This window comes from Homo sapiens, chromosome 11 (assembly GCF_000001405.40).
Source record: "Homo sapiens chromosome 11, GRCh38.p14 Primary Assembly".
NCBI classification, from domain to species: domain Eukaryota; kingdom Metazoa; phylum Chordata; class Mammalia; order Primates; family Hominidae; genus Homo; species Homo sapiens.
This window is the reverse complement of record NC_000011.10, coordinates 9,348,974-9,365,965: the sequence shown is the minus strand read 5'-3', so window position 1 is coordinate 9,365,965 and position 16,992 is coordinate 9,348,974. Positions and strand designations below refer to the sequence as shown.

At 46.6% G+C, this 16,992-nt stretch overlaps 9 annotated features.

The window, feature by feature from the left end:
* Positions 719-1,420: an enhancer, noted in NCBI's record as "H3K27ac-H3K4me1 hESC enhancer chr11:9386093-9386794 (GRCh37/hg19 assembly coordinates)". NCBI's record gives its function as "activates a minimal SCP1, AML or CMV promoter by ChIP-STARR-seq in primed H9 embryonic stem cells {active_cell/tissue: H9 hESC(primed)}" and the evidence as "EXISTENCE:reporter gene assay evidence [ECO:0000049][PMID:30033119]".
* Positions 719-2,255: a biological region, named in NCBI's record as "P300/CBP strongly-dependent group 1 enhancer GRCh37_chr11:9385258-9386457".
* Positions 1,056-2,255: an enhancer, noted in NCBI's record as "P300/CBP strongly-dependent group 1 enhancer chr11:9385258-9386457 (GRCh37/hg19 assembly coordinates)". NCBI's record gives its function as "activates an origin of replication core promoter dependent on BRD2, BRD4, P300/CBP, MED14 and CDK7 cofactors, with strong dependence on P300/CBP, by STARR-seq in HCT116 cells {active_cell/tissue: HCT116}" and the evidence as "EXISTENCE:reporter gene assay evidence [ECO:0000049][PMID:35650434]".
* Positions 1,246-1,425: a silencer, noted in NCBI's record as "silent region_3125". NCBI's record gives its function as "represses an Ori minimal core promoter by ATAC-STARR-seq in GM12878 lymphoblastoid cells {active_cell/tissue: GM12878}" and the evidence as "EXISTENCE:reporter gene assay evidence [ECO:0000049][PMID:35858748]".
* Positions 9,310-9,866: an enhancer, noted in NCBI's record as "H3K27ac-H3K4me1 hESC enhancer chr11:9377647-9378203 (GRCh37/hg19 assembly coordinates)". NCBI's record gives its function as "activates a minimal SCP1, AML or CMV promoter by ChIP-STARR-seq in naive H9 embryonic stem cells {active_cell/tissue: H9 hESC(naive)}" and the evidence as "EXISTENCE:reporter gene assay evidence [ECO:0000049][PMID:30033119]".
* Positions 9,540-9,720: a silencer, noted in NCBI's record as "fragment chr11:9377793-9377973 (GRCh37/hg19 assembly coordinates)". NCBI's record gives its function as "represses an EF-1alpha promoter that drives an FKBP-Casp9 reporter gene in an ReSE screen in phorbol 12-myristate 13-acetate-treated (for megakaryocytic differentiation) K562 erythroleukemia cells {active_cell/tissue: K562(+PMA)}" and the evidence as "EXISTENCE:reporter gene assay evidence [ECO:0000049][PMID:32094911]".
* Positions 9,867-10,425: an enhancer, noted in NCBI's record as "H3K27ac-H3K4me1 hESC enhancer chr11:9377088-9377646 (GRCh37/hg19 assembly coordinates)". NCBI's record gives its function as "activates a minimal SCP1, AML or CMV promoter by ChIP-STARR-seq in naive H9 embryonic stem cells {active_cell/tissue: H9 hESC(naive)}" and the evidence as "EXISTENCE:reporter gene assay evidence [ECO:0000049][PMID:30033119]".
* Positions 10,520-11,020: an enhancer, noted in NCBI's record as "H3K4me1 hESC enhancer chr11:9376493-9376993 (GRCh37/hg19 assembly coordinates)". NCBI's record gives its function as "activates a minimal SCP1, AML or CMV promoter by ChIP-STARR-seq in naive H9 embryonic stem cells {active_cell/tissue: H9 hESC(naive)}" and the evidence as "EXISTENCE:reporter gene assay evidence [ECO:0000049][PMID:30033119]".
* Positions 14,621-15,122: an enhancer, noted in NCBI's record as "H3K4me1 hESC enhancer chr11:9372391-9372892 (GRCh37/hg19 assembly coordinates)". NCBI's record gives its function as "activates a minimal SCP1, AML or CMV promoter by ChIP-STARR-seq in primed H9 embryonic stem cells {active_cell/tissue: H9 hESC(primed)}" and the evidence as "EXISTENCE:reporter gene assay evidence [ECO:0000049][PMID:30033119]".

Here is a 16,992-nt window from a genome sequence, read left to right as displayed (position 1 = left end):
GGTTGAGGATACGTGCCCTGAGGACCTCCTTGAGGACATGTGCCCAAGGTGGTCAGAGCACAGTTTGGTTTTCTACATTTTAGGGAGACATGAGACATCAATCGACATATATAAGATCAACACGGGTTTGGTCTGGAAATGGGGGCTTTCCAGGTCATAGGTAGATAGGAGACAAATGGTTGCATTCTTTTGAGCTTCCCTCCCTCTCTCTCTCTCTTTCTTTCTTCATATGGAGTTTCCCTCTTTCGCCCAGGCTGGGGAGAAGTGGCCCAATTTCGGCTCACTGCAACCTCTGCTCCCGGGTTCAAGCGATTCTCCTGCCTCAGCCTCCCAAGCAGCTGGGATTACAGGCGCCCGCCACCACGCCCAGCTAATTTATATATTTTTAGTAGAGATAGGGGTTTCTCCATGTTCACCAGGCTGATCTCGAACTCCTGACTTCAGGTGATCCACCCGCCTTGGCCTCCCAAAGTGTTAGGATTACAGGCGTGAGCCACCGTGCCCAGCCTGGATTCTTTTTTTTTTTTAATCTTATTTTTTGAGAGGGAGTCTGGCTCTGTTGCTCAGGCTGGAGCGTAGTGGCTGAGCTCGGCTCACTGCAACCTCCGCCTCCCGAGTTCAAGCGATTCTCCTGCCTCAGCCTCCCGAGTAGCTGGAATTACAGGCGCCCACCAGCATGCCCGGCTAATTTTTGTATTTTTAGTAGAGACGGGATTTCGTTATGTTGGCCAGGCTGGTCTGGAACTCCTAACCTCAAGTGATCCGCCCGCCTCTCCTTCCCAAAGTGCTGGGATTACAGGTGTGAGCCACCGCACCCAGCCTCCAAAAGAGGCAATCAGATAACGCATTTATGTTAGTGAGCAGAGGGGTAACTTTGAATAGAATGGGAGACAGGTTTTCCCTACGCAGTTCCCAGCTTGACTTTTCCCTTTAGCTTAGTGATATGGGGGCCCCAAGATATTTTCCTTTGACGAATTCATCTCGGAAACCAAGATTTATTTTCTTTTGGAATTTTAAAAGTTTTGCTCTTGCATTTAAAAAAAACAGTGCGTGTGTGTTTCGCTTTAATTATTATTTGCTGCATTTTGGAACTGAGTCAGGCAAATCATTTTTGTTCCTAGGCAAGTGCCTTTGATCTTCAAAATCTACCCAGTCTTTGGGGCACTGCTGTCTCCTTTCACAAGGTCCTAATTCCCACTGAAACCAGTCTGTAGTATTTGTGGCTTGGGGCCACTTCAAGATTTCAAATTTCAGCCTCAGACTCCAATCCCCGGGCGGGATCCGGGAGACCCAGCCCCGTGCGGCCCCCGCCGAGCTGGCGGGGATTGCAACGTCGGGATCGTGGCGACGCGCGGGGCCCTGGAGCCCAGGCGCGCGGCCCCAGGCGCGTCAGCCCCTCCCCGCCGGCGTCGCTCGCCGTCGCCTGCGGTGACTCAGCTCTTCCGGTCACCGCCGTCACTGGTGGTTCCCGACTGCAGTGAAGGTGCGGACGCCAAGTCACTGCTCAGTAATGCTGGAGCCGCCGGCGTCCCGGGCCTTCTCCAAATGCGCTGCATTCCTGCCCCCACCATGACTCAGCGGCTTCCGCTCCGGCGTCAGCGGCGCTCCGGCCTCCGCCCGCGAGGCCCTGCTGCCTTCCCACTGCCCCACGGGGGCCACAACGCGCCCGCTTCCGCCCTTAGGTGTCCTTCCAAGCCCCTGAAAAGGTTTGGCAGCTTGATAAAGGATCCCTGAACTCCAGTGTTTAGGCCCTGCAAGGCTCTTCTCTGTACATTGAGGAGCTGAGGCCTCCGCACGGGAAAGTATTCCCCACCCCCCAGCGCAAGGAGGAAGTTAGCCTAAGACTAATTGAGGCAACTGAGGCCTCGGACAGCCGCGGGTCCTGAGAGCCCGATGGACCTACTTTGGAAGTTCAACGTTACCGTTTGCAGATGTGTGACACTCCCCTACTCCTACCCCCACTCCTACCCCCACCCACTTAACAGACATGAGGATTATTCCATGCCACCTTGTTGTTGGCATTGCGTAGCACATGGTAGGAACTCAGCAAATCTCAGCTTTTGTTTGTATTTTCTCTTTCTTTCCTTTTTTTTTTTTTTTTTTTTTTTGAGACGGAGTCTCCCTCTGTCACGAGGCTGGCGCGATCTCGGCTCACCGCAACCTCCCCCTCCTGGGTTCCTCCTGGGTTCAAGCGATTCTCCTGCCTCAGCCTCCTGAGTAGCTGGGACTACAGACGCACGACACCACGCCCAGCTGATTTTTGTATTTTTAGTAGAGACAGGATTTCACAATATTGGCTAGGATGGTCTCGATCTCTTGACCTCGTGATCCGCCTGCCTTGGCCTCCCAAAGTGCTGGGATTACAGGCGACAGCCACCGTGCCTGGCCTGTATTTTCTTTGAAATGCCTTTTAGATGTAGTTCTTCCTCTCCATGGACAGAGTCACCTCAGCAACTTCCTAACTGGTTTTGCCACATTCCCATCCAACTTCACACAATGACCGGGTGCATTTTTATGGCACACTGTATTCTGCAAGTCATTCCTCTGTGCAAGAAAATTTAATACTCTGTTGAATTTTGGTTTGAGTGGAAAGTCCTTTCCCTGGTATTTAAAGCGATCCATCATAGTCCGGCTCCCATCCTTCCCATAAATATTTTAGGCCTGCTCTGCATCCTGTATTGTGGTACTCGGATTCCTGCCCTCCAGAGCTCTGGTGAGGGGAGATAAATACATAATCACGTCGTCATTATACTGTGTAATAAGTGCTCTGATCGAAGTGTGAACAGGACAGAGAGCAACTCAGTGTAATAGAGGGGGAAGAAGAAAGGCTTCACAGAGGAATAAATATATGGGGGAGGGAGATGGCTTGATGGTTGTGAGGCATTTACCAGCACTCTGATAGATATTGTATATAGCAGAGTGTCCTTGTTGCTGCAGGTTTTCGAAGGCATCATTGTGCTCTGCTCTGTTGCTGTTACAGAAGGCTTGAAACATCTAGCCCCATCCTTTAATCTTGGATCCAGAAGTATTGTGGGAAATAAAATTTGATTTAAAAATGATTATCACCTGATGAAATACAGCTTGCAGAAAGAAATAATGGATTCCTTACAGGAAAAATTCTGTACCAAGGATACCCTTATAAGGAGTAGAATTGGCCACAGGGCCTAAGTGCTAGAGAAGACAGTGTTTGTGAAGATTCTATAAGGCTGTACTTGAACCTGCCCCAGCTCAACCCTCTGGGGCATGCTTATCAGTCCTGGGAAGGAGAAGGCTGTGTACTAAAATGGAAACAACCGAATCACCAGGGGCCCAGGTCCTCTTCTGTGTGGCATGCTGAAAGAATTGAATTATTGAGAACCCAGCACACACTCTGTGGGATTCTCGGTTTTTAAAGAGCTGAATGTAAGAAAGGCATTTACCTACTGGCCAGAGAGAGATGGGCAGTGGAGCTCTGCAAGTTGTCAGTGACAGATTCTAGGTGGCAGTAGCAGGGAGAGCTGAGGCTCCAAGGGGGCCTCCAGGTCAAGGACAACTCAGGGACAGAGCAGATGGCCTAAGTAGCATTGATATGGGTACTTACAGGCAGAGAGGACAGGGATCACAGAGGTGGTGAGAGCTGCAGTTCAAATAGTGTCTGCGATTACAGTAGATTTTAATTTCTTTTTATTTTTCTGAATTAAATTTGTCCATGGTGAACATGGTTTTTTTTTCTGGTGGGCGGGGGGGAGGGATGGAGTTTCACTCTTATTGCCCAGGCTGGAGTACAATGGCCCGACGTTGGCTCACTGCAACCTCCGCCTCCCGGGTTCAAGCAATTCTCCTGCCTCAGCCTCCCGAGTAGTTGGGATTACAGGTGTGCGCTGCCACCATGCCTGGCTAATTTTTGTATTTTTAGTAGAGATGGGGTTTCACCATGTTAGTCAGGCTGGTCTCGAACTCCTGATCTCAGGTGATCCACCCACCTCGGCCTCCCAAAGTGCTGGGATTACAGGCGTGAGTGAGCCACCATGCCTGGCAACATGTTTTTAATGTCAGAAAAAAAATTTTTTATTACCCAGTGTTAGTGCAGATGAAGTAAAATTGGCCTTCCTATTCAATAGAGTTTTACAAGAAATGAATCACAGTACACTTCCTGACTCATCTGTGAAAATTACACATATTAATCATGATGTAAATGCTTATTATTGATGTGAACCAAAATTATGATTTAACTGCTTTGGGAGGCTGGGGAAGGAGAAATGGTGGTGGGTATGTGGTGTATTTGTAAGAGTGCTACAACCTCATCTACCACAACAGGAAAGCAATAGATTGTGTTTAAAACAGATACATCAAGAAATAGCATAAGCACATTATTTTGATATATGGAGGTAAATACCCAAAATAACAGTGAAAAAAGTGGAAATTGGTTGCCTTTGGGCTATGAAGAGGAATGAGGCGAAGGCTACTTTTTTTCACTACACATTTCTTGGTGCTATCAAAATATTTTTTAACTTCTTGCATTTTTAAAGACAGATAAAAGTAAAAGCGTACAAACCTGTTGTTCCAGTAATTTCATTTCTATATTGGTATCCTAAGGCAATAACAGCAGATGTGGGTAAAGATATATGTATGCTAGTCACTGCAGTATTTTTTTAATTCTAAATATCCCATTTTTATTTATTTTTAATTCATTTATTTTCAATTTATGTGGGTACATGGTGGGTTATATAATACTGTTTAATTAGGCCAGGCGCGGTGGCTCACAGCCGTAATCCCAGCGCTTTGGGAGGCCAAGGTGGGCGGATCACGAGGTCAGGAGTTCGAGACCAGCCTGACCAACATGGTGAAACCCTGTCTGTACTAAAAATACAAAAATTAGGTGGGCGTGGTGGCACGTGCCTGTACTCTGAGCTACTCAGGAGGCTGAGGGAGGAGAATTGCTTGAACCTGGGAGGCAGAGGTTGCAGTGAGCCGAGATTGCGCCATTGCCCTCCAGCCTGGGCAACAGAGCAAGACTCCCTCACAAAAAAAAAAAAAAAAAAAAAAGATTGTTTAGTTAGAAATTAAAAACTGGGAACAATGTAATAAATTTTTTAAATTATGGTACATTTATATAATGATTTTTAAAATCACGTTTTTGAGCATTATTTAATTTCCTTGTTGAAATGCTAATTTTAAAAGTAGTCAAAATACTTGAGGTCAGGAATTCGAGACCAGCCTGACCAATACGGAGAAACCCCGTCTCTACTAAAAATACAAAAATTAGCCAGGCGTGGTGGCGGGCAACTGTAATTCCAGCTACTCAGGAGGCTGAGGCAGGAGAATCGCTTGAACTCAGGAGGCGGAGGTTGCGGTGAGCCAAGATGGCATCATTGCACTCCAGCCTGGGCAACAAGAGCCAAACTCAGTCTCAAAAAAAATAAAAAATTAAAAAATTAAAAAATACTAATAATAAAATAAAATAAACCATGTTACCTTAAAGTTTCAGTTTTGCAAGATGGAAAGAGTTCTGGAGACTGGTTTTACAACATTGTCAATGCACATAACACTACTGAGCTGTATACTTTAAAATGGTCAACATGGCAAATTTTGTGTTATGTGTATTTAACCACAGTAAAAATGTTGTTGTTGTTGTTGTTGTTGTTGTTGTTTTGGGATGAAGTCTCTGTTGCCCAGGCTGGAGTGCAGTGGCACAATCTCAGATCACTGCAACCTCTGCGTCCCGGATTCAAGCAATTCTCCTGCCTCAGCCTCCCTAATAGATGGGATTACAGGTGCCCGCCACCAAGCCCGGCTAATTTTTGTATTTTTAGTAGAGATGGGGTTTCTCCATGTTGGCCAGTCTGGTCTCGAACTCCTAACTACAAGTGATCCACCTGCCTCGGCCTCTTAAAGTGCTTGGATTACCAGTGTGAGCCACCGTGGCTGGCCTAAAATTTTTGTTTAAATGTATGTGCCCTATGACCTAATGATTATACTTCTGGGTATGTACCCCAAATAAACTCTCACCCATGTGTACAAAGAAACAAGTGTGAGGATGTCCTCCGTAGCATTGTTTGTAATCACAAAAAGTAAAAGCAGCCTAAATTTTCATCAAAAGGAAATGGATAAAAGTGTAATATATTCATACATCAGCCTGAATTGGTCTCAAAAACAACTTTGGGTGATAAAAGCAAGATGCAAAATTATACGTACATGATGGTATCATTAATGTAAGTTTTAAAATACAGTGTCACAATCCATTGGTGATGAATACGTATATATGTACATATGTGTGTGTGTGTGTGTGTATATATATATATGTATTCATCCATGTAAAAGTACAGGGAGTGGAATGGAAGGTTACACACCAGACTCATGGTAGTTGCGCCTGTAACTTGAGAGGGGAGATGGGACTGAGTGGGAGGTTGTGTGGTTAAAGGGGACTTTAATTTTATCTATAACATTTCACTTCTTTTAAAAATATGGAAGTAGGCCGGGTGCAGTGGCTCACACCTGTAATCTCAGCACTTTGGGAGGCCAAGGCAGGTGGATCACCTGAGGTCAGGTGTTCAAGACCAGCATGGCCAACATGGTGAAACCCCGTCTCTACTAAAAATACAAAAATTGGCCGGCGCAGTGGCTCACGCCTGTAATCCCAGCACTTTGAGAGGCCGAGGTGAGTGGATCACAAGGTCAGGAGTTTGAGACCAGTCTGACCAACATGGTGAAACACCGTCTGTACTTAAAAAAAAAAAAAAAAGGCTGGGTGCGGTGGCTCAAGCCTGTAATCCCAGCACTTTGGGAGGCTGAGGCGGGCGGCTCACCAGGTCAGGAGATCGAGACTATCCTGGCTAACACGGTGAAACCCCGACTCTACTAAAAATACAAAAAATTAGCCGGGCGTGGTGGTGGGCGCCTGTAGTCCAGCTACTCGGGAGGCTGAGGCAGGAGAATGGCGTGAACCTGGGAGGCGGAGCTTGCAGTGAGCCGAGATCGTGCCACTGCACTCCAGCCTGGGTGACAGAGCAAGACTCCGTCTCAAAAAATAAAAAAAAAGAAAACAAAAATTAGCTGGGCGTGATGGCGGGCACCTGTAATCACAGCTACTTGGGAGGCTGAGGCAGGAGAATCGCTTGAACCCAGGAAGCGGAGGTTGCAGTGAGCTGAGATTGTGCCATTGCACTCCAACTGGGGCAACAAGAGCGAAACTCGGTCTCAAGAAAAAACAAACTGTGTGTGTGTGTGTGTGTGTATATATATATTCTATATATGTGTGTGTATATGTATATTCTATATATATGTGTGTATATATATTCTATATATATGTGTGTGTATATATATTCTATGTGTGTGTATATATATTCTATGTGTGTGTATATATATTCTATATATGTGTGTATATATTCTATATATATGTGTATATACATGTATATTTCATATATATATGGAAGTAAATATGAAACAGTGTTAAAAGTTGGTGATTCTGGGTGGTGGGAATATGGGTGGTTGGTATTTTATTCATTACATTGTTTTAAATTTTGATAAAAAAATAAACAATGACAGACTTAAAAAAAAAAAGCCAATGATCCATGCGTGAATAAATTGTTTGAAATGTTTATTCCTCGGTGTCATAAAGGAATAGCAATTGAACATAAATTTAATTTCCTCAACAAGGCCATTTTTACTTTCTGCAGAAAGGGTACACTTGTCAGCAGTTTTGCCATGAGAGTACACCGAACAAAGGAGACAGGGTCATTTATAACCTGACACATCCACCTTACTGCTGTGTCCAGTTTCCATTGGCTGAAACGGGACCTCACATTATGTCTTTGTCCTGATTGGCTAGGGACTTAGAACTTTTTTAAAAGAGACAAAGGCAGAGGAGAACAAAGGAAGGAGGAAGTAACTTGTGGAATGCTGAGAAAGGTAAAAACTCCTTTAAATAAGGAAGGCTATGACTTAATGCTTGCTTGGACCAGTATAAGCATGCCAGGGCAAATATTTAGGCTAAATTATGGGAGCTAAGAACATAAAATACATTGATTTCTTTTCTTTTTTTTTTTTTGAGACAGAGTCTGGCTCTGTCCCCCAGTCTGGAGTGCAGTGGCACCATCTCGGCTCACTGCAAGCTCCACCTCCAGGGTTCATGCCATTCTCCTGCCTCACGCCATTCTCCTGCCTCAGCCTCCTGAGTAGCTGGGACTACAGGCGCCCGCCACCATGCCCTGCTAATTTTTTTGTATTTTTAGTAGAGACAGGGTTTCACCATGTTGGCCAGGATGGTCTAGATCTCCTGACCTCATGATCCGCCCACCGTGGCCTCCCAAAGTGCTAGGATTACAGGCTTGATCCACCGCGCCCGGCCAATACATTGATTTCTTTATTATGGCTAGCAGATATTTAAGAATGTAAGCACAGGTCTTTGAATAAATTTTGCTTCTAAGAGAAGTAACTATTCCTAATTAGATGGGTAGGAGAGTTTTTGAAGAGGAACCTCTACTTTTTACAAAAGGTACAGGTAAAGTTCTATAGGAGTTCAGAATGGAGAGACATTATCAAAGGCAGTGTGGGAGAGAAAGGTGGGATAAGGAAAGGTGTCTGAATTGAGCCTTCAGGGACCCAGAAGATTAAGACAGCTGAGAAGAGTACTGTGAAGTGGTATTCTAGGCAGAATGAGCAACATGAAAGATCCATGAAGACAGAAAAGCAAGGGACTCTTGAGTAGTTCAGCTTGGCTGGACCTGAAGATACCTGATGACAAATAAGCAGGAAATGAGATCCGAAAGGTGATTGCTACGTCATCTGGAAAGCCAAAGAATTTTAGTCTGTTCTGTAGATAGTGGTTTGTCATTAAGGGTTTTGGGGTTGGGATAACAGGATCAGAACAGGAAGATTAATCTAGACATGAAATAGAAAATGATGGCCGGGAGCAGTGGCTCACGCCTGTAATCCCAGCACTTTTAGGAGGCTGAGGCAGATGGATCACCTGAGGTCAGGAGTTCGAGACCAGCCTGGCCACCATGGTGAAACCCCATCTCTACTAAAAATACAAAAATTAGCCGGGCATGGTGGCTCACACCACTAATCCCAGCTACTTGGGAGGCTGAGGCAAGAGAATTGCTTGAACCCGAGAAGCAGAGGTTGCGGTGAGCCGAGATCGCGCCATTGCACTCCAGTCTGGGTGACGGAGGTGGACTCTGTCTCAAATAAAATAAAATTATTTGAAACGGAGAGGGACTGGAGACAGGGAATACAGCGAGGAAAAAATGATTATAGGGGACCAAGTGAGCGATGAATACAAGTGCCCCCTCCCTCCTTTTTTAAAAACAGCTTTACTGATCCAGGTGTCCTTTTTGTTTTTGTTTTTGTTTTTGTTTTGAGACAGAGTTTCCCTCTTGATGCCCAGGCTGGAGTACAATGGCACGATCTCGGCTCACCACAACCTCCGCCTCCTGGGTTCAAGTGATTCTCCTGCCTCAGCCTCCCGAGTAGCTGGGATTATAGGCGTGCACCACCAGGCCCAGCTAATTTTGTATTTTTAGTAGAGACGGGGTTTCTCCATGTTGGTCAGGCTGGTCTCGAACTCCCGACCTCAGGTGATCCACCCACCTCAGTCTCCCAAAGTGCTGGGATTACAGGCGTAAGCCACTGCTCCAGGCCCCAGGTGTCCTTTTGACCACACACAATAGTCTCTAAAACAGTCTTCCTGCCTCTGGGCTGATGTTTCCCAACCATTTTTCATGTTCCAACACACAGATGAGGGTTCTAACACATTCTCATCAGTTACAATGGTTCACTGAGGCAGGATTTTAGGGACAGCTGATGAAAGTGTGCAGTCTGAACGAAGACCCAGGTGATTTTCTTTCTTTCCCTTCCCCTTCCCTCCTTCCTTCCTTCCTTCCTTGCTTCCTTCCTTCCTTCCTTCTCTCTTTCTCCCTTTCTTTCTACTCTGGCCATATTGATATACCCAGTAATGCCTGTAGACACAGCTGTGCATTTTCTTTTTTTAAAACAATTGTTTTTCTGGGATGCTGTTTCTCCCACTTTCTGCTTATCAAAAATCCTGGGCCTTGCTGGTTGTGGTGGAGTGTGCCTATAATCCCAGCTACTCAGGAGGCTGAGGCATGAGAATCACTTGAACTCGGGAAGTGGAGGTTGCAGTGAGCTGAAATCACATCACTGCACTCCTGCCTGGGTGACAGAGTGAGACTGTATCTCAAAAAAAAAAAAAAAAATTCTGGGGAGATTGCTTGAGACCAGGAGTTTGTGACCAGCCTGGGCAACATAGAGAAACCCTGTATCTTAAAAAAAAAAAAAAAAAAATTAGCCAGGCATGGTGGTAGATGCCTGTAGTCCCAGCTACTCAGGAGGCTGAGGTGGGCTTGAGCCTGGGAGGTCAAGCCTGCAGTGAGCTGTGATCGCACCACTGCACTCCAGAGCCTAGGTAACAGAGCTAGACTCTATCTCAAACAAACAAACAAAAAATCTGTTCATCTTCTAGGGCCCAGATTTCACTTCTTCCATGAAACCTTTTATGAATAGCTGAAAGGGAATTATTTTCTTCTTCTCAGCTGCCAAGGCCTGTGCCAGTCATATCACTGCTTGCACTGCTTTTCTCTCCCAGTTTAACATCTGTGTCTTCTCTTTTAATCTAGTATTTTAACTGCCAGAGATAGGACTCAAGTTTTTTTTTTTTTTTTTTTTTTTTTTAAGGCGGAGTCTCACTCTGTCGCCCAGGCTGGAGTGAAGTGGCACGATCTCGGCTCACTGCAAGCTCCGCCTCCCGGGTTCACGCCATTCTCCTGCCTCAGCCTCCTGACTAGCTGGGACTACAGGCGCCCACCACCACGCCCGGCTTATTTTTTGCGTTTTTAGTAAAGACAGGGTTTCACCGTGTTAGCCAAGATGGTCTACATCTCCTGACCTCGTGATCCTCCCGCCTCGGCCTCCCAAAGTGCTGGGATTACAGGCGTGAGCCACTGTGCCCGGCCGCTTTGTTGTGTTTTTTAAATTCCTCTTGAATACACTAGCCCAAAGTCCTTGCAGATCAAAGTATTTGAGAATTAAAATAATTACCATTCATTGACTTTGTTTTTTTTTTTTGGCAGGGTCTTGCTCTCTCACCCAGGCTGGAGTGCAGTGGTGTGATCATGGCTCACTGCAGCCTCAACCTCCCCAGGCTCAAATGACCCTCACACCTCAGCCTCCCAAGTAGTGGGGGACTACAGGCATAAGCCAGCATGCCCGGATACTTTTTGTATTTTTTTTGTAGAGAGGGGTTTTTGCCATGTTGCTGAGGCTAACTACGATTTATTGAAAGGCTTTTAGTTACAGGCACCATATACATTATATCTACTCCTCCTAATACCCCTAAGAGGTAGGTAGTTATCCTCCTTGTACAAAAGAGGAAACAGAGGTTCCAAATATTAATTAACATATTCAGTGTACATAGCCAGAAAATAGGGGATTTAAGATTTGAGTAGGGCTCTGGTAGGCTCCAAATCTTGTGTTGCTTTCACTGCACTGTGTTGCTCTTTTTTTTTTTTCCGAGACAGAGTCTTGCTTTGTCGCCTAGGCTAGAGTGTAGTGGTGTGATCTCGGCTCACTGCAACCTCCACCTTCTGGGTTCAAGGTTTAAGCAATTCTCCTGCCTCAGCCTCCCGAGTAGCTGGGATTACAGGCATGCACCACCACGCCTGGCTAATTTTTTTTTTTTTTTTTTGAGATGGAATCTCCCTCTGTCACCAGGCTGGAGTGCAATGGCGCAATCTTGGCTCACTGCAACCTCCGCCTCCCGGGTTCAAGCGATTCTTCTGCCTCAGCCTCCCGAGTAGCTGGGACTACAGGCATGTGCCACCATGTCCAGCTAATTTTTTGTATTTTTAGTAGAGATGAGGTTTTACTATGTTAGCCAGGATGGTCTCAGTTGCCTGACCTCATGATCTGCCTGCCTCAGCCTCCCAAATTGCTGGGATTAGAGGCATGAGCCACTGTGCCCGGCCTAATTTTTGTATTCTTAGTAGAGATGGGGTTTGACCATGTTGGCCAGGCTGGTCTCAAACTCTTGACCTCGTGATCTGCCCTCCTCAGCCTCCGAAAGTGCTGAGATTACAGGCGTGAGCCACCACATCCGGCCCTGTGTTGCAATTCTTAAGTGATGGTTGAATGAAAAAATTTTTTTTTTCATTTTTAAGCACTTTTTTTTTTTTTTTTTTTTTTTGTGAGACAGAGTTTTGCTCTTGTTGCCCAGGCTGGAGTGCCATGGTGAGATCTTGGCTCACTACAACCTCCACCTCCTGGGTTCAAGTGATTCTCCTGCCTCAGCCTCCTGAGTAGCTGGGATTATAGGCATGTGCCACCATGCCCCGCTAATTTTTGTATTTTCAGTAGAGATGGGGTTTCACCATGTTGAACAGGCTGATCTCGAACTCCTGTCCTTGGGTGATCCACCCAACTCAGCCTCCAAAAGTTCTGGGATAACAGGTGTGAGCCACCGCGCCAGGCTGAGCAAATTTTTTTTTTTTTTTTTGAGACAGAGTTTTGCTCTTGTTGCCCAGGCTGGAGTGCAATGGCCCAATCTCGGCTCACCACAACCTCTGCCTCCCAGGTTCAAGTGATTCTCCTGCTTCAGCCTCCGGAGTAGCCGGGATTACAGGCATGCGCCACCACGCCCAGCTAATTTTTGTATTTTTAGTAGAGACGGGGTTTTTCCATGTTAGTCAGCCTGGTCTCAAACTCCCGACCTCAGGTGATCAGCCTGTTTCAGCCTCCCAAAGTGCTGGGATTACAGGCGTGAGCCACCACTCCGGCCTTTTTTTTTTTTTGAGAAGAAGTCTAGCTCTCCCACGCTGGAGCGCAGTGGCACAATCTCGGCTCCCTACTACCTCCGCCTCCTGGGTCAAGCAATTCTCTTGCCTCAGCCCCTCGAGTAGCTGGGATTACAGGCACCTGCCACCACACCCAGCTAATTTTTGTGTTTTTAGTAGAGAAGGGGTTTCACCATCTTGGCTAGGGTGGTCTTGAACTCCTGACCTCATGATCTACCCGCCTTGGCCTCCCAAAGTGCTGGGATTACAGGCATGAGCCACTGTGCCCAGCTGCACTTTTTTTTTTAACTTGCTTTTCTTTGCTGTATTTCCTCCCCAGAGGCTTACCCAGCTGGTAAAGCAGAAGGGAATACTTGCCAGCTGTATTAGTTGCAAGTAATGGTACTCCAACTCATTCTGAATTACACAATAAAAGTAAATATGTTTTTTTTTTTTTTTTTTGAGACAAAGTCTCACTCTGTCGCCCAGGCTGGAGTACAGTGGGCCGATCTCGGCTCACTGCAAGCCCCGCCTCCCGGGTTCACGCCATTCTCCTGCCTCAGCCTCCTGAGTAGCTGGGACTACAGGTGCCCGCCACCACTCCCGGCTAATTTTTTGTATTTTTGGTAGAGAAGGGGTTTCACCGTGTTAGCCAGGATGGTCTTGATCTCCTGACCTCGTGATCCTCCCGCCTCGGCCTCCCAAAGTGCTGGGATTACAGGCCTGAGCCACCGCGCCCAGCCGTAAATATGTTGATTAATGAGCCAAGGAGTCCACTAGTAGATTGCCAAGCTTTAGGACTAGAGGACTAGATCAGGGTTGCAACATTGCCTCCATCTTTCAGTTTTGCTTTCCTCTAAGTTGACTTTATTCCCAGGCAGGCTCTGTTTATGTGGTAACAAAGATGGTCACCAGCAGCTCCAGCTTACATTCTACCAACCTAGTAACCCCAGCAGAAACCACCTCTTTTCCAAGAGTGCCAATAAAATTCCCAGGTAAGACTGTCATTGGCCCAGCTTGAGTCATATACACATGCCTGAAACAGTCACTATGTTCAAGGGGTGCTGTGTTGCTCTGATTAGTCAGAATTAAGGCTATGAACTCTACGGATTGAAATGAGGAAGGCAAATTATGGTATCTGACCAGAAGAAGTGATGCTGGATGGGCAAAATGGATATTCATTACATACACTTTCACTGAATGAGAATCCAGTACTCAATAGTCTCTGATCCAGGTTGACACTTTCTGGGTGGATACTACAATTAACTCCATGATCTGTTGCTCTTGAATACCATTCTCAAAGGCCCTATCACATAGGGTATGCTTTTCTTGGTTTGGTCTCAAGAGTGATACTGTTCCTTAGAGTAGTTATATAATAAAACATTCCACTCATGGGAAATGGTCCATCCCTGGCTTGAGTCCTGTGGTGGTCAACTGAGAGGAAGACACTAGAATGTGGTTCCACAAGGGGACACAGGGTCAGCTGCAGTAGTACCAGACAGGCCAAATCTGCCACTAGGAGGGCACAGTGACAAATGGCAAGCAGTCGTGTAGATAAGCAGTTGGCATCTGGGGCCAAGCAGAGAATGACATGTTGTCTTAATGGGAGACAGAGAATTCTGAGACAGGAGATGCTCATCAGGATTTCAGACAGATAAGTCTGATAATCAAGTAGTAGAACTCTAGCCACTTGGCTAAAGTTCAAAGGCATTCCAGTCCCAGGGAATGGGGAATTGAAAGGAGCAGGAAAGACGTTCATTTGGCCGGGCGCAGTGGCTCTTATCTGTAATCCTAGCTTTTTGGGAGGCTGAGGTGGGCAGATCACCAGAGGTCAGGAATTCGAGACCAGCCTGGCCCACATGGCGAAACCTTGTCTCTACTAAAAATACACAAATTAGCCGGGTGTGGTGGCACACGCCTGTAATATCAGCTACTCGGGAGGCTGAGGCAGGAGAATTCCTTGAACCCGGGAGACAGAGGTTGCAGTGAGCCAAGATCTCGCCACCACACTCCAACCTGGGCAACAGAGCGAGTGAGACTCTGTCTCAAAAAAAAAAAAAAAAAAAGAAAGAAAGAAAGGAGCAGGAAGTCCTCAGTGGTAGGGAAATCAGGACACTGGAAAGGGTAACAGGATTGGATCTAAGGCATTAGCCTGAAATCCATGCATTGGGTCTGGAGTCCAAGGTGAAGCTAGATCTCAAGAATGAGACTGGAGGTCAGTTTTTGAATAAAACTGGGACTTGAGGCCGGGCGAGGTGGCTCACGCCTGTAATCCCAGCACTTTGGGAGGCCGAGGTGAGTGAATCATGCGGTCAGGAGTTCAAGACCAGCCTTGCCAACATGGTGAAACCCGGTGTCTACTAAAAATACAAAAATTAGCTGGGCATGGTGGCACACGCCTGTAATCCCAGCTACTCAAGAGGCTGAGGCGGGAGAATTGCTTGAACCCAGGAGGTGGAGGTTGCAGTGAGCTGAGATCGCATCACTGCATTCCAGCCTGGGTGACAGAGCAAGACTGCATCTCGGCAAAAAGAAAAAAAATTAGTCAGGCATGGTGGCACACGCCTGTAATCCCAGCTACGCAGGAGGCTGAGGCAGGAGAATCGCTTGGTCCTGGGAGGCAGTGGTTGCAGTGAGCCAAAATCATGCCACTGCACTCCAGCCTGGGCGACAGAGCGAGACTCTGTCTTAAAAACAAAAACAAAAACAAAAACAAAAACTGGCACTTGAGTTCAGCCTAGCAACAGCCTTCATAGAAAACCTCAGAGTGGCCGGATGTGCTGGCTCACGCCTGTAATCCCAATACTTTGGGAGGCCAAGGCAGGCAGATCACGAGGTCAGGAGTTCGAGACCAGCCTGGCCAATATGGTGAAATCCCATCTCTACTAAAAATACAAATATTAGCCAGGTGTGGTGGCCCGCACCTGTAGTCCCAGCTACTAGGGAGGTTGAGGTAGAAGTATTGCTTGAACGCAGAAGGCAGAGGTTGCAGTGAGCTGAGATCAAGCCACTGCACTCCAGCCTGGGCAACAGAGCAAGACTCCATCTAAAAAAAAAAAAAAGAAAAGAAAAGAAAATCTCGGAGTGGGGAACTGAAGTGCTACAAATTCCTCCTGCCTCTGGGCAGATTTTGTAGTGACTAGATCAAGACTGAGCCTGCAGGTGGTATTGAGTGCCTCCAGCTAAGGGGAAGGAAGGAGACAGAGGCTGCTCCCAAAAGAAGGTCTAACAAACTCTAAAGGAGGTGTGTGCACCAGGCATGGTGGCTCACACCTGTAATCATAGCATTTTGGGAGGTCGAGGCGGGCAGATTGCCTGAGCTCAGGAGTTCGAGACCAGCCTGGGCAACACGGTGAAACCCGGTCTCTACTAAAAAAAAAAAAATACAAAAAATTAGCTGGGAGTGGTGGCATGTGCCTGTAGTCCCAGCTATTCGGGAGGTTGAGGCAGGAGAATGGCTTGAACTCGGGAGGCGGAGGTTGCAGTGAGCCGAGATCGTGCCACTGCACTCCAGCTTAGGCGACAGAGCGAGACTCTGTCTCCAAAAAATAATAATAATAATAATAAAAAGGAGATGTGTGCCCATATGCCCTGCAACTGCTGTAACTCTGCCACTCTTTGCATGCATGCAAATACTCATTATTGGACAGGGAAAATGATTAATCCTAGTTGTCTTGGAGGACTTGGAGCCACTGTCTGTTGGACTTACTTCACCCATACCGGTATGTCTGTTGGGGGTGGAGTTCAAGATCAGGCAAGAGAAAAACACGTAAAGGAAGTAGTCTCCCAACTGACCTGAGTCATAGCACCCCTAGCCCCTACAAAGGACTAGATCTCAAAACTACATGAAACCCTCCGTACCCATACTCACCTGGTAAGCCTATTTAATACCACTCTCACTGGGCTCCATGAGGTCTTGGCCCAAAACCCTACTAACTGTTGGATGTGCCTCCCCCTGCACTTCAGGCCATACATTTCAATCCCTGTACCTGAATGATGGAACAACTTCAGCACAGAAATAAACACCACTTCCATTTTAGTAGGACCTCTTGTTTCCAATCTGGAAATAACCCATACCTCAAACCTCACCTGCATAAAATTTAGCAATACTATAGACACAACCAACTCCCAGTGCATCAGGTGGGTAACTCCTCCCACACGAATAGTCTGCCTACCCTCAGGAATATTTTTTGACTGTGGTATCTCAGCCTATCGTTGTTTGAAT